The sequence below is a fragment of the Homo sapiens genome, chromosome 12 (assembly GCF_000001405.40).
Source record: "Homo sapiens chromosome 12, GRCh38.p14 Primary Assembly".
Classification (NCBI taxonomy): domain Eukaryota; kingdom Metazoa; phylum Chordata; class Mammalia; order Primates; family Hominidae; genus Homo; species Homo sapiens.
In genome coordinates, this window is record NC_000012.12 from 19,292,124 (window position 1) to 19,306,236 (window position 14,113).

A 14,113-nucleotide genomic window follows, 5' to 3' on the forward strand; every position below is an offset into this window, starting at 1 on the left:
GGCTGGATGCAATGGCTCATGCCTGTAATCCCAGCACTTTGGGAGGCTGAGGCAGGCGGCTCACTGGAGGCCAGGAGTTCGAGACGAGGCTGGCCAACATGGAGAAACCCTGCCTCTACTAAAAATACAAAAATGAGCCGGGCGTCACAGTGAACGTCTGTAATCCCAGCAGCTTGGGAGGCTGAGGCATGAGAATTGCTTGAACCCGGGAGGTGGAGGTTGCAGTGAGCCGAGATCATGCACCACTGCACTCCAGCCTGGGCTACAGCGCAAGACTCTGTCTTAAAAATAAAGAAACAGAGAAAGAGAGAGAGGGAGGGAGTAAGGGAGGAAGGAAGATGGGTGAAGTGTGTAGTGGAGGTGATTTGCAGTTGCCTGTCCTTATTCCCTGTTTGCTGTGTACTTCCAATGTTTGGTCTTTGCCAACGTGTGTAGAGCCAGTTTTATAGGAGGCTCACATTCCTAGCATTACCTCAGTGGTGGCACCAGGTGTGCCTGGTTGAGGTGAATGTTCAAAAGTGAAAATGGCAATGGGCCGGGTGTGGTGGCTCCCGCCTGTAATCCCAGCACTTTGGGAGGCTGAGGCAGGTGGATCACCTAAGGTCAGGAATTTGAGACCAGCCCAGCCAACGTGGCGAAACACCGTCTCTACTAAAAATACAAAAACTAGCCGAGCATGGTGGTGTGCACCTGTAATCCCTGCTACTTGGGAGGCTGAGGCAGGAGAATCACTTGAGCCCTGGAGGCAGAGGTTGCAGTGAACCAAGATCACACCACTGCACTCCAGCTTGGGTAACAGAGCGAGACTCTATCTCAAAAAAAAAGAAAGTGGCATTTAACAAGGAGTGACTCAGTTTTTATAAAATGTTCTATTAATATTTAATTTTAATTTGTTGGGAATTTTTTGTTATTAGACATAATTTCTTTCATTGAATACATTTTTTTATATAAATCAAGCTAAAACTTATTCTAGCTTGTTTCAAAATGTCCAAACTTGACTATTTTATCAAATAAAGAGGTTACTGTAGAAAATAAGACAAATGCTTTCATATTTATATTTGCCTGTTTGAAACAAAACAGTAATGTGCTACTTTAAATTAGTTGTATTTAAAGAGGGATTTTGCATTAGGATAACCCTTTGAAAGGTGTTAAATCATTTTCCTTATTTTAATTTTTAAAAGTAACACACTTTTGTTAATATAAAATTTATATATTTTCCACAAAACATTTTCATCAGCATTTTGGCCATTGGAATACTTTAAAAATCAGCATTTCATGTATCCGAATTCCAGATCTTCAATCCAGAGATTGAGGCTATTGAAATTTAACCACAGTGTATATTATGCACTTTGTATATTATGCACTAGAAAAATGCATCTTCCTTCAAAATTCTACACTGCCAGAAAGCTGCTAAGATACATGGGAAATAAAAAACTCCTTTGTATTTAGAGCTGCAAATAGTCCTAAAAAATAGGTTTAAAAAACAATGATATAAACATGAATCTGAAGTTACCCCACATCTCTGAAAATAAACCTTGTGGTTTACTGTAATTTATTACTGACCTCATTGAATCAAAACTTGCAGAGACATAGAACTTCAGAAAATTTTAGAAAAGGACAGGTAAATATATCAAAAACACCACCATATGCTAAGATGCCCTTCCTCAATCACTTTCCCACATCGAGATTGTGTTTTATCCCTTTACCTAAATGACCTAGACCTCGTTGAGGTTCACATTCCCATCTCTCCTCTCAAAGAAAGCTTTGTTGAACCTTTTCTACTGCTCCATGCTTGTGGTCCTACTGGTGACTTCTAAACATCCTAATGTGTTATTGATCTTCTCTATTCTCTCAACATCTCACCAAAGCTTTTCCAGTAATTTATCTGAAGTAAAGCTATTCAATTTTTAAAGTTTGTGATAATGAGAAGAATTACAGAATTGTTTGAATGGTACTTGTGTTTGAAGTAAGAATATTTTGATAGCAAAAATTGGGCCATTTTTAGGTAATAATTAGACAGCATATGAAAACATGGTGGAGACTGCCCAAAAACTCAGATATACTTAAATGTATGTATCCTTAAGGTTTCCTAAAGAAAATCTCTCCTTAGATAATTTTATTAAAAATTTATGATTTAGATAACTTTGAATTTTAATAAAATTTTTCATTCAGCTCAAACATTTCCAGCTTTTAATCTTGTTACTGCCAGTAGCGTAACATTTTAGAGTACCAGGTCCGTTGCTTTTGTAGGGATTATTGGTTCCCTGGATTTATGAATTGATTCATCAGTTTTATGTAACCACAAATTTGAGAGTAAATTATAAAATCTGAAAGAGGAAAAGGCTCTGGTCACATTTTATACTATATATCATAACAAATGAACATGTACTAATCTATTCTCACTCTAACACTTACTCTGCCTCCCCTAATAAATCATCAGAATAACCCAAGACCAGCAACAAAATGTAGTTTTCCTCCTGCCCCTTGTGAGGTATTACAATAATCAAAAGCAAAACTGTAATTTCTTTAAATTCTGTTAATCACTGTCAGTATTCACAAAACACATAGACCCAAAGAGTATTCTCATAGTTACTTCAGAGGTCAACTCATTTCTGATGCTACTGGAATGTTTAATAACAAATAAAAAATAAAATAGCCTTATCTGAAAGTCTGCAGATTTACATATTAAGCAGGCAATCCAAAAATCTTGACTTCTGGTGCCTGTAACTTCAGCAATATAATTTGATTCTCACTGTCACCGTTTATGAGGATGAATCATGTATTAAAGTGGTTTAAAAATAACAATAGATATACTAATTACATGGTAGAATTTTCTTCAGTTTTTTGTTTCATCATTAAGTACACTATTACAGTTTGTTTATGCTTCCATAGCCCAGTTAGTGTATTATTCAAAGTCCACATTTATATAAGACTAGCCCTGGTTTATTTGTCATTTTTGTGAATTTTAAGATAGCATAGGCCCAAAGTAGAACCTGTATACATACAGTAATCCCAACTATATATTTTATGTACCTCATCCATGCTCTATGTAGAGAATGAATAAATGCATAATATATCAGTAACTCATTTTCTTCTCATCCAGCTTAGTTGTTGCTGAATATTGGAGACACTTTTGGTTACAGTTTAAGTGAAACTTGCCAGCTTCATCCTAAAATGCATGTACTGAATGGATTTAACATTTATTAGCTTTTTCCATGTTTATTTTTCTGCCTAACAGAATATAATAGGGATGGAGGGAAGCCATAAGTAAAGTGTTGCCCTTGCTGTGTACTTGCCAGGAGGTTGGAAGTAAATTTCAGATTATCAGCAGTTAAAGTGGGGTCTCCTCCCCTGAAGAATGAAATATCCTGTTGTAGTTCTTTGAAAGTGCCATAGTAGCTGGTGTTTATTTTATGAGGGAAAAAGAAAATTTTGAAAAAAATTTTTTTTCTTAACAGGGCAGATCAAGCATAAGCTGCCCTGCTGAGCAATCATTTTATGATTAGGAGTCCCTAAAAGGTTCCATAGAGCCAACTATAAGTCATTTGTTTGAAACTGGAGTAACAGGTTTCCATAGGAGCTGATTGTAGCCAAACCATTTGATGATATTTGGTTGTAAGATAGAGAAGAAGGAGCACACTGGTTGTTTTGGCTCCTGTACCCTACTGGTTATTAAGGATTTTTCATAGTATCCCTGGTGGTTAGATTCCCAAGCCAGGCCATGAAAGATAGTATTTTACCCTGTGCTATATCTGAAGACCAGACTAACAGTATCACACACCCTAACCACACTGAAGAAAATATCTCTTTTAAAAATGTATTCAGTGGCTGGGCACAGTGGCTCATGCCTGTAATCCCAAAACTTTGGGAGGCCAAGGCAGGTGCATCACCTGAGGGCAGGAGTTCGAGACCAGCCTGGCCAACGTATAGTGAAACCTCGTCTCTACTAAAAACACAAAAATTAGCCAGGCATGGTGGTGGGCACCTGTAATCTCAGCTACTTGGGAGGCTGAGACAGGAGAATCACTTGAATCCGGGAGGTGGAGGCAGAGGTTGTGGTGAGCCAAGATCACGCCACTGCACTACAGCCCGGGCGACAGAGTGAGACTCCGTCTGAAAAAAAAAAAAAATTACTCAGTGTGGCCAGGCACTGTGGCTCACGCCTGTAATCCCAAGACTTTGGGAGGCCAAGGTGGGTGGATCACCTGAGGTCAGGATTCCGAGACCAGCCTGGGACAACATGGTGAAAGCCCATCTCTACTAAAAACACAAAAATTAGCCGGGCCTGGTGGTGTGTGCCTGTAATGCCAGCTACTTGGTAGGCTGAGGAATGAGAATCACTTGAAGCTAGGAAGCAGAGGTTGCAGTGAGCCAAGATCATGCCCTGCACTCCAGCCTGGGTAACAGAGCAAGACTCTATCTCAAAAAAAAAAAAAAAATGTATTCAGTGTGCAAACCTCAGATCTTAGGAACACGTATGCCTTCTTCAGCAGATCTAACATTGGGAGTAGGGACTTGAAGTTTCTCAGTCTTGTCACTTACTAGATCTACGCTAGTTTCTAGTTCTTGGCTCCTGTAGCCTGGACCAGGTCTGGTTGGGTTGAGCAAAAGAATGAAATTAGGCGTTTAGAAACTAGACCAGGAGCTGAAGACAGGAAGCAGTCAAAAACTCTCCATGAGTGAAGAGGTAGCACTTTTTTGATCCAGGCATGAAAGGAGTATTAATAGGAATGGGGAAGTTGGAACGTGTTTCCCTCCATATTCCTCACGTCTATTTTAGCTTTTCCTTCCATTTGTTTCTTACTCTTTTTCTTTCTAACATTCTCTGCTAGTGTTTGAAGAGCAGTTGTGAGGGAACTTAAATGATATTCCCCTTTTCCTTTTCCCTAATAACCTTCCTGCCAGATTTTCAAGTAGGCAATGATAACAGCAGGTGAGATATTAGGAACTGTGACTACGAAGTATGTAGATGGAGATGTGCAGAAGGATCCAGAGACTTAGAGCAATGCTTCACATGCTTTTGGTAAGCATGCTCCCTACTGTGGGTAAACCAAACATGTACCAACCCCCCCAGAATTATGATATTCTACTGCAGTAACCAGCCTCTTCTTTTAACATCAGATAGCTAAAGGACGTTATCCTCAAAGTCATGGAAAAGCAGGAAGTTTTTCATGACAAATCAGTTTGCCATAGTACAGTTAAAAAAAAAAAAATACAGGCCGGGCGCGGTGGCTCACGCCTGTAATCCCAGCACTTTGGGAGGCCGAGGCAGGTGGATCATGAGGTCAGGAGATCGAGACCATCCTGGCTAACAAGGTGAAACCCCGTCTCTACTAAAAATACAAAAAATTAGCCGGGCGCGGTGGCGGGCGCCTGTAGTCCCAGCTACTGGGGAGGCTGAGGCAGGAGAATGGCGTGAACCCGGGAAGCGGAGCTTGCAGTGAGCCGAGATTGCGCCACTGCAGTCCGCAGTCCGGCCTGGGCGACAGAGCGAGGCTCCGTCTCAAAAAAAAAAAAAAAAAAAAAATACAGTGCAAGCATACCTATGTATTCTTTTTTGCATGAAAATGTTTAAGGTTTGCCAGAGTCAATAGCTAAATCCTTCTTTATAATTTACCAGTAAATTATTATTTTTTTTTTTTTTTTGAGAATGAAAAACATTTCATGTTTATTTGGAGATCCAGTAGACTGGGGATAGATTGTCAACAGAGTCAGCACCTATATATGTGTCTTTTTATCAGTACATTTTTTAAAAAACAATTATCAAATTCTGAGGAGGAGGGTAAGAAAATCTTTTTTGGGCTGGGCACAGTGGCTCACGCCTGTAATCCCAGCACTTTGGGAGGCCAAGGTGGGTGGATCACCTGAGGTCAGGAGTTTGAGACAGCCTGGCCAACATGGTGAACCCCATCTCTACTAAAAATACAAAAAATTAGCCGGGCATAGTAGTGCGTACCACCCGCTACTTGGCAGGCTGAGGCAGGAGAATTGCTTGAACCTGGGAGGCAGAGGTTGCAGTGAACCGAGATCGCACCACTGCACTCCAGCCTAGGCAACAGAGGGAGACACCATCTCCAAAAAAAGAAGAGGAGTAGGAGGGACAGAGATAAAACTGAGAAAATCCTTGAGCAGGATATGAAATAATAATAATGGCAGAACTGTAAGACTAAATGGATAATGGAGTAAATTAGAATTTAATATGTGTCTCTTAAATTGGCCTATTTAGTGCTCTTACATTATTATCATGGGTCTGTTCTTAGCAGTAATCTGTCCTATTTTTTTAGCTTTTTTTTTTTTTTTTTTTTTGTAACCTATCTCAGTGCTAACTGGGGAAGATCTCCGTCTCTTGGTGTCCCTGCCTCAGCCTCCCGAGTAGCTGTGATTACAGGCACCCACCACCACGCCTGGTGAATTTTTGTATTTTTAGTAGAGATAGGGTTTCACCATGTTGGCCAGGCTGGTCTCGAACTCCTGCCCTCAGGTGATCCACCCGCCTCAGCCTCCCAAAGTGCTGGGATTACAGGTGTAAGCCACCGCGCCTGGCCCAAAGCTTGTCATCTTTATCCCTCAAGTCCCTCACCAAAAAGCTAAAGCAAAAAAATAAAATAATTTAAAAAAAATGGTTCAGAATATCAGTTGCTATTAACGTTGGTCATGTCACAAGCATTTATTGAATACATCTTCCTTCAGAAGGAACTCACTGGGCTTTGAGAGCCGTCAGCACTCTTGCTTTACTATTTGCTTAGACTAGGAACTTAAGGCTGGCACCTTAAAACCCCCAGCGGAAAAGAGGATAACACATAGAGAAAGTGAGGCCGAGTCTCCTCTACAGGCTATGGCTGGGACAGCCTGACACCAGTCTCTCACAGTCTGGCTGACTGATGAAGAAGAAGAAAAACAAGTGGCAGAATAACTGGAAGGACCTAAGGTATGACAAGCCTCCTTGGCATCCTGCCTGCCTCTCCATCACTGTAAGGATGGAGATTTTCCAAATTTGTGAAAATGGCAGAATTAAGTCAGACAAGTGCCTGGAGTTCTATTATGTTCTCCTAAAATCTTGTCTGCCCAACATCAGCATGTATTAAAGTTAAACTGATGACTTTAAACTGGAATTAAATGTACTTTAAAAACAGTTTCACTGAAAATGGAAAAATCATGAGATTCTGTAGAACTGTCTGAACAGATTTTTTTTAGCTGATTACATGTTGGCATGGTGTTTGCTCAGGAGAACAAAGGCTACCATAACACCTTATGTATATGAGATCCCTCATTACCATTTAGTCAGCAAATCTTGGCAATGCTTCTCCTGAATCTTTAGTCAGCAAATCATTTAGTCAGCAAATCTCTGTAATGCTTCTCCTGAATCTTTGCACGCACATAGCAATATTCCTGGTCTCACATCTAGATTTCGTCACGTATCCCGTTTTATTGTATAATAGTCTTGGATATTCCTCATCTTAATTTCCCTGGCTTTGGATAATAAGTTTGTTAACTGTAAGCCTCCACTCTCACATTTGTAACAGAGTAGTAATGTGAACCTTTAAGGGTTGTTAGGGATTAATTGAGGTAATATCTATAAACTTCTGAACACAGTAAGAGGAGCTTGTAAGCCCTCGGTAAATGGGAAGTCTGTGACTGCTGAAATTGAAATTAGGTCCAGTTGCTCATTTGATCTTCCTAAAGCTCCTGCCACATTATGTCTTTTAGCCAACTCAGGAAATGTCACAGACTCCTTTTGCCTTACAAAAAAAAGTCTCTTTTTGTCATTTAAGCCTTCAGTCTTCCACCACCACGCCACAACTTGTGAAATAATTCCTCCCCCATAAACCCGTTTCTCCAGCCAGTGACTCACCATTTCTCAGATACTTCCAAAGCACTCCGTTCTCTGCATGGTGTACCTGTGTAGTGCCTGTTCAACCTTACTGTGTAAGTATCACTTTACAGTTCACAAAGCACCATCCTATACAACATCCCACTTGTTTCACATACACAGGCTCTGCAGCATATGGACCAATTAACCTTTATCCCCATTAAATCAGATTCCATGACTTGCCCAAAATCATAAGCTAGAGTGAAAACCTTGTATTAATGGATTTTCTTTCATCTTTTAAAAATTCTATTTTAACTTCTTTCAAAGTTAATGGATCATTCTGTTCTTAGAGTTTGGCTGCAGTCTTTGTTACCTGAGGAATATCAGCTTCTAGCTATGGCTCTAACAAGACAGCAAAGTGAAAACAAAATGTCCCTACCTATTCTAAAATGCATAATAGTTATACAATTCTATTTTTATTTACAAAATATTATAAATACTATTTTACAGTTACAAAATTATAAAAGTAGCTCATTATACCAGGCTTTGCTTCTGTCTTAATTTTACAGTAGGTTTTGCCTCTGTCTTAATTTTATGTACATTTTTCAGCAAGTTTATTCATTCTGCAAAGATTTATGGAACTCAGGATGCAAAGATAAGCCATGATGCTAATGCCCACAATGTAGAATTCTTGTTCAAAACTTGGAAGGAAATGAGGTTGAGTATAAATGCCAAAAACATTTCTAAAATTGACCTAAAGGTGTCATTATGTTGTTGAAACATAAGCTGATAAATCTTTGAATTAATGGTAGGAATTCAGCTACTCAGTGCCATTTGTAACTTTGTAAGAACACAGTTAACCATTGATAAAATCCAGATCCTTCTATCTAGAAGTTATTTTAATTTTGATTTAAAATTTGGACGGGTGCGGTGGCTCACACCTGTAATCCTAGCACTTTGGGAGGCCGAGGTGGGCGGATCACCTGAGGTTGGGAGTTCAAGACCAGCCTGACCAACATGGAGAAACCCCATCTCTACTAAAAAAAAAAAAAAAAAAAAATACAAAATTAGCCTGGTGTGGTGGCACATACCTGTAATCCCAGCTACTCAGGATCCTGAGGCAGGAGAATCTCTTTTACCCAGGAGGCGGAGGTCATGGTGAGCCGAGATCGCGCCATTGCATTCCAGCCTGGGCAACAAGAGCGAAACTCCGTCTCAAAAATAAAATAAAATTCAAGTATATTTTAGAATAGATTTATCCATGGCAAGAACAAGTACCTTTTTGACTAACAGAGATGTAAGATTTTCACTTCAGGAATGTTTTTTCACTTAAAAATGGTAGATTTTAGTGTATCCTTAAAATATTTGCAAAGAAGAAAATGTGACAATTTCAAACCTTATGTTCACAGTAAAAGATTTTTTTTAATTCATCTTGAGTTCTTTTAATATTTCCTGTTTCCTGTGGATGCCAGGGATAAACATAGTAGTAGCCTTGCTTGAAATTAAAGGAACAGGGATTAGGAAAAGGCCATTAAACAAGGAAAATACATTAAGCTACTGAAGTAAAAAAAAAATCAGATCTGTAAAACTTATCCCTAGCCAAATGTAAGTAAATTATTTGGAATGGCACTAGCCCAGGCCTTCAAAGTTTGCTTTCAAATATACCACAAGGACATAATCTATCTTCCTTGAAGAAAAGGGGAAATATTATAAAGTCTAGCTATATCTTTAAAAATATTGTTGATTCTTATGACTATATAACAATAGTAATGTTTGCAGGTTTTACTTACAGGAAAAAACGTATGATAATTTATTCAAATTACTTTAAAACTTCTGAAGTAATCTCAATAACCCCTTCAGTTATAAAGAGACTTATTTACATTCTTCTGTTACTGAAGTCACTTCACATTTCCCTGCTTCCTGTTGAAGAGTGGTTTCAATAGGTAGCATACCCTTCAATCTCAGGTTCTTGGACTTTCAGGTGTGCCTAGAGAGAGTGGAAGGCAAATTTACATTGTTATTATCTAAATGACCTATTTATAAAGACCCCTGCATTCCCTAAAGCCTCACCCTGGGCACATCAAATTCTTTAGCTTTTTAGTTTTGCTGCACATCTTAAGAGCTTATTGATGTAGACACAGAAGGACATTCTTGAGAAAATGGAGTATTCTGTGATTACGCTATGGAGTTTTTTGCTTTTGTTAAGACAGATTCCCAACTGAAAAAATCTTTTCCGAAGAAGTCATTAAGAACTCAGGAAAAAGTCCCTTTTTCTCTTAAATGGAAAATGACAGCAAGAGATGGGTCTTCTTCTTAGTTAACAGTGAAGGACAGAAGCTCTGCTCTGTATCCACCCACACTGTTCAAGAAAAAGGAACTATTGGCACAGAATTCAGACTCAAGTAAACTAAGTTACAAGACAGCTTGAGCAAAGGTTTCCCCTCCTGCAAATGACTTGCAGATCATGGGGAAAATCATACTTGCTTTACTGGTCCTCTGTCGCCGAGGCTGGAGTGCAGTGGCATGATTTTGGCTCACTGCAACCTCTACCTCCCAGGTTCAAGTGATTCTCCTGACTCAGCCACCTGAGTAGCTAGGATTACAGGCGCCCACCACCACACCCAGCTAATTTTGGTATTTTTTATTAGAGATGGGGTTTCACCATGTTAGCCAGGCTGGTCTTGAACTCCTGACCTCAAGTGGTCCTCCCACCTTGGCCTCCCAAAGTGCTGCCGTTACAGATGTGAGCCACCACCCCCAGCCTACTGGTGTAGAATTTTTAGACCTGGTATCTAATATGATAGCCACTAGCAACATGTGGCTATTTAAATTTGTAGTTACATATATATATAAGTAAAAACATGTCCTCAGTCATGCTAGCCCCATTTCAAGTAGTCAATATTGAACTACACAGATGTGGAACATTTCCATCATCACAGAAAGTTCTGTTGGACAGCACTGTTCTGTATGAAATTTTTTTTTTTTTTTTTTTTTTTTTTTTTTTTTGAGATGGAGTCCTGCTCTGTTGCCCGGACTGGAGTGCAGCAGCGCCATCTCGGCTCACTGCAACCTCCATTTCCCGGGTTCAACTGATTCTCCTGTCTCAGCCTCCTGAGTGAGTGAGACTACAGGCGCACACCACCGCACCCAGCTAATTTTTGCATTTTTAGTAGAGACGGGGTTTCACCATGTTGGCCAGGCTGGTCTCGAACTCCTGAACTCAGGTGATCCACCCACCTCAGCCTCCCAGAGTGAGTCACCGCATCCAGCCTCTAGATTATTATATAAACTTTTAAGAGAGCAATTAAGCCACTGCTTAATCACTTGTTATTTTTAAAGGGAGTATGGAGAATTAATTTTTTCTAAGGATGAATTATATGAATGACCATCTTGGCTCTGCTCACTACTCATCTCTTTTCCCCCTCCCCAAATGATTCAGGAGCATTTTACCTCATGAGTTAGAATATCCTATTTTTTCTGAGTTCAGAGCTGGTCCAATTTCTCCAGAGATAGATTTGAAACAGACATTTAAAAGCTACTAAAGTAGCTGGCACAGTGGCGCAAGGCTATATAGTCCCAGCTACCAGGTAGACTGAGGCAGAAAGATCACTTGAGTCCAGGAGTTGTGGGCTTTTGTGCACTATGCCGATCAGGTGTCCACACTAAGTTCAGCATCAATATGGCAACCTCCTGGGAACGGAGGACCACTGGGCTGCCTAAGGAGGGGTGAGCCAGCCCAGTAGGAAATGCAGCAGGTCAAGACTTCTGTGCTGATCAGTAGTGGGATCACATCTGTGAATAAGCACTGCACTCAAGCCTGGGCAACATAGTGAGACCCCGTTGTTTTTGTTTTTGTTTTTTTAAGATATCCTTTCTTTGAGCTTTTTTTTTTTTTTTTTTTTTCTTGAGACATGATCTGGCTTTGTCACCCAGGAGTGCAGTGGCAATCATGGCTCACTGCAGCCTCAACCCCCTAGGCTGAAGTGATCCTTCTGCCTCAGCCTCTCAAGTAACTGGGACCACAGGCCTGCACCACCATGCCCAGCTAATTTTTTGTAGAGGGGGGGGTTTCACCATGTTGCCCATGCTGGTCTTGAACTCCTGGCCTCAAGTGATCCACCTGCCTTGGCCTCCCAAAGTGCTGGTACTATAGGCGTGAGCCACCGCGCATGGCCGAGACCCCATCTCTTAAGAAAAAGAGTAACTGGCCAGGCACGGTGGCTCACGCCTGTAATCCCAACACTTTGGGAATCCTGAGGTCAGGCGTTCAAGACCAGCCTGGCCAACATGGTGAAACCCGGTCTCTACTAAAAACTCAAAAATTAGCCGGGCGTAGTAGTGGGCACCTGTAATCCCAGCTACTCACGAGGCTGAGGCAAGAGAATCGATTGAACCAGGGAGGTGGAGGTTGCAGTGAGCTGAGATTGCGCCATTGCACATCAGCTTTTAAAAGGCAGTTAAAATCTCTTAATGCTATATCTTAGACAACAAGAAAATATTTTAATCTAGATCCAATATTTGTGTTTACTTAGTTTGAAGTTTTTTATCTTTGATAGTTGTGCAATTACCTTGATCAGTATCTGATATCAACTCATCTGGACCTTGAAAAATTCTTTGGCAGTCATGTTTACTTGAATTGATGCCAGGATAGGACCATGGTTCACAAGCCTGACTTCTCAGAACTGACAGTAAATCTTCAGAAAGACAAAAACAAAGTACAATACTCAAGGCTGTCTTTCCCCCAGTCCCCAATAAGAATTGCCAGGGCCCAGACCTGTAAAGGTTTTAAATCTCCACAGGTAGTTTTATGGGGGCCGGGGGGCTTTTTTTTTTTTCTTTTGCCAGATATGAGAACTACACCAAAGAAAGAAGAAAAGTCAGCTGGATGTGATGCCTCATGCCTGTAATCCTACCACTTTGGGAGGCCAACACGGGTGGATCTCTTGAGCCCAGGAGTTCGAGACTAGCCTGGCCAACATGGCGAAACCCCTTCTCTCTTTCTTTTTTTAAAATTTTTTAGTTAGAAATGAAAAAAAGAAAGAAGTCTAGGTTTTCTGAAACAAGCACTGTCTTGGTGCTACCTTTTTTCATGTGTGGACACATAGAAAGCGAGGATATTTGTACAGCACCTTGAAACAAATAAGCAGGAGGTGATGTCATGAGCCTTAGCCCTGCAGGGACCAGACTAGGCCTTCTGAAGCTGAGGTGGTCCTTGTCCCCACACCTTGTAACCCATTTCCAGCCCATGGGTGTCAGTTGGGAAATTCTACACAAGATCCTAGTAGATGTAATTACATATAATTCAGTGGTTTTTGATGATGGGGTTTTAAAATCAAGTTATTCAATAGGTGGGGTGCAGTGGCTCACGCCTGTAATTCCAGCACTTTGGGAGGCCGAGGAGGGCAGATCACAAGGTCGGGAGTTCAAGACCAGCCTGACCAACATGGTAAAACTCCGTCTCTACTAAAAATACAAAAATTAGCCTGACAGGGTGATGAGCGCCTGTAATCCCAGCTACTCAGGAGGCTGAGGCAGGAGAATCACTTGAACCTGGGAGGCAGAGGTTGCAGTGAGCCAAGATGGCACTGCTGCACTCCAGCCTGGGTGACAGCGAGACTGTGTCTCAAAAAAAAAAAAAAAAGACCCAGCACGGATGGCTTGAGGCCTGTAATTCCAGCACTTTGGGAGGCCAAGGCGGACGAATCACCTGAGATCAGGAGTTTGAGACCAGCCTGACTACCGTGGAGAAACCCCGTCTCTACTAAAAATACAAAAAATTAACTGGGCATTGTGGCACATGCCTGTAATCCCAGCTGCTCGGGAGTCTGAGACAGGAGAATCGCTTCAACCTGGGAGTCGGAGGTTGCAGTGAGCCAAGATTGCGCCATTGCCCTCCAGCCTGGGGCAACAACAGCAAAACTCCATCTCAAAAAAAAAAAAAAAAAAAAAAACAACTATGAAGACTGGGCGCGGTGGCTCTACTAAAAATACAAAAAATTGGCTGGACTTGGTGGCGCACGCCTGTAATCCCAGCTACTCGGGAGGCTGAAGCAGGAGAATCGCTTGAACCCAGGAGGCAGAGGTTGCAGTGAGCTGAGATCGCCCCATTGTACTCCAGCCCAGGCGACAATCCGATACTCCGTCTAAAAAAAAAACAAGTTATTCGTATTTGCCAAACAGACCTCAAAACTGCTGAAGAGGCCAGGATTAAGTATCAGATTTTCTAGATAGTTTTTCTAAACATTTGGACTTAGAAATTTCAAGTAAAAATGTGTTTTGTTGTGAACAGAAATTCACCGGCAT

The 14,113-nt window shown here is 41.0% G+C and overlaps 1 protein-coding gene and 1 pseudogene across 73 annotated transcripts in view; both read left to right on the forward strand.

Annotated features, from left to right (window-relative positions):
• PLEKHA5 (pleckstrin homology domain containing A5) overlaps nucleotides 1-14,113 on the forward strand; it is a 246,668-nt gene that overhangs the window by 162,391 nt on the left and 70,164 nt on the right. The gene's annotated exons all lie outside the window — the stretch shown is intronic.
• On the forward strand, nucleotides 11,357-11,652 carry RN7SL67P (RNA, 7SL, cytoplasmic 67, pseudogene; annotated as a pseudogene).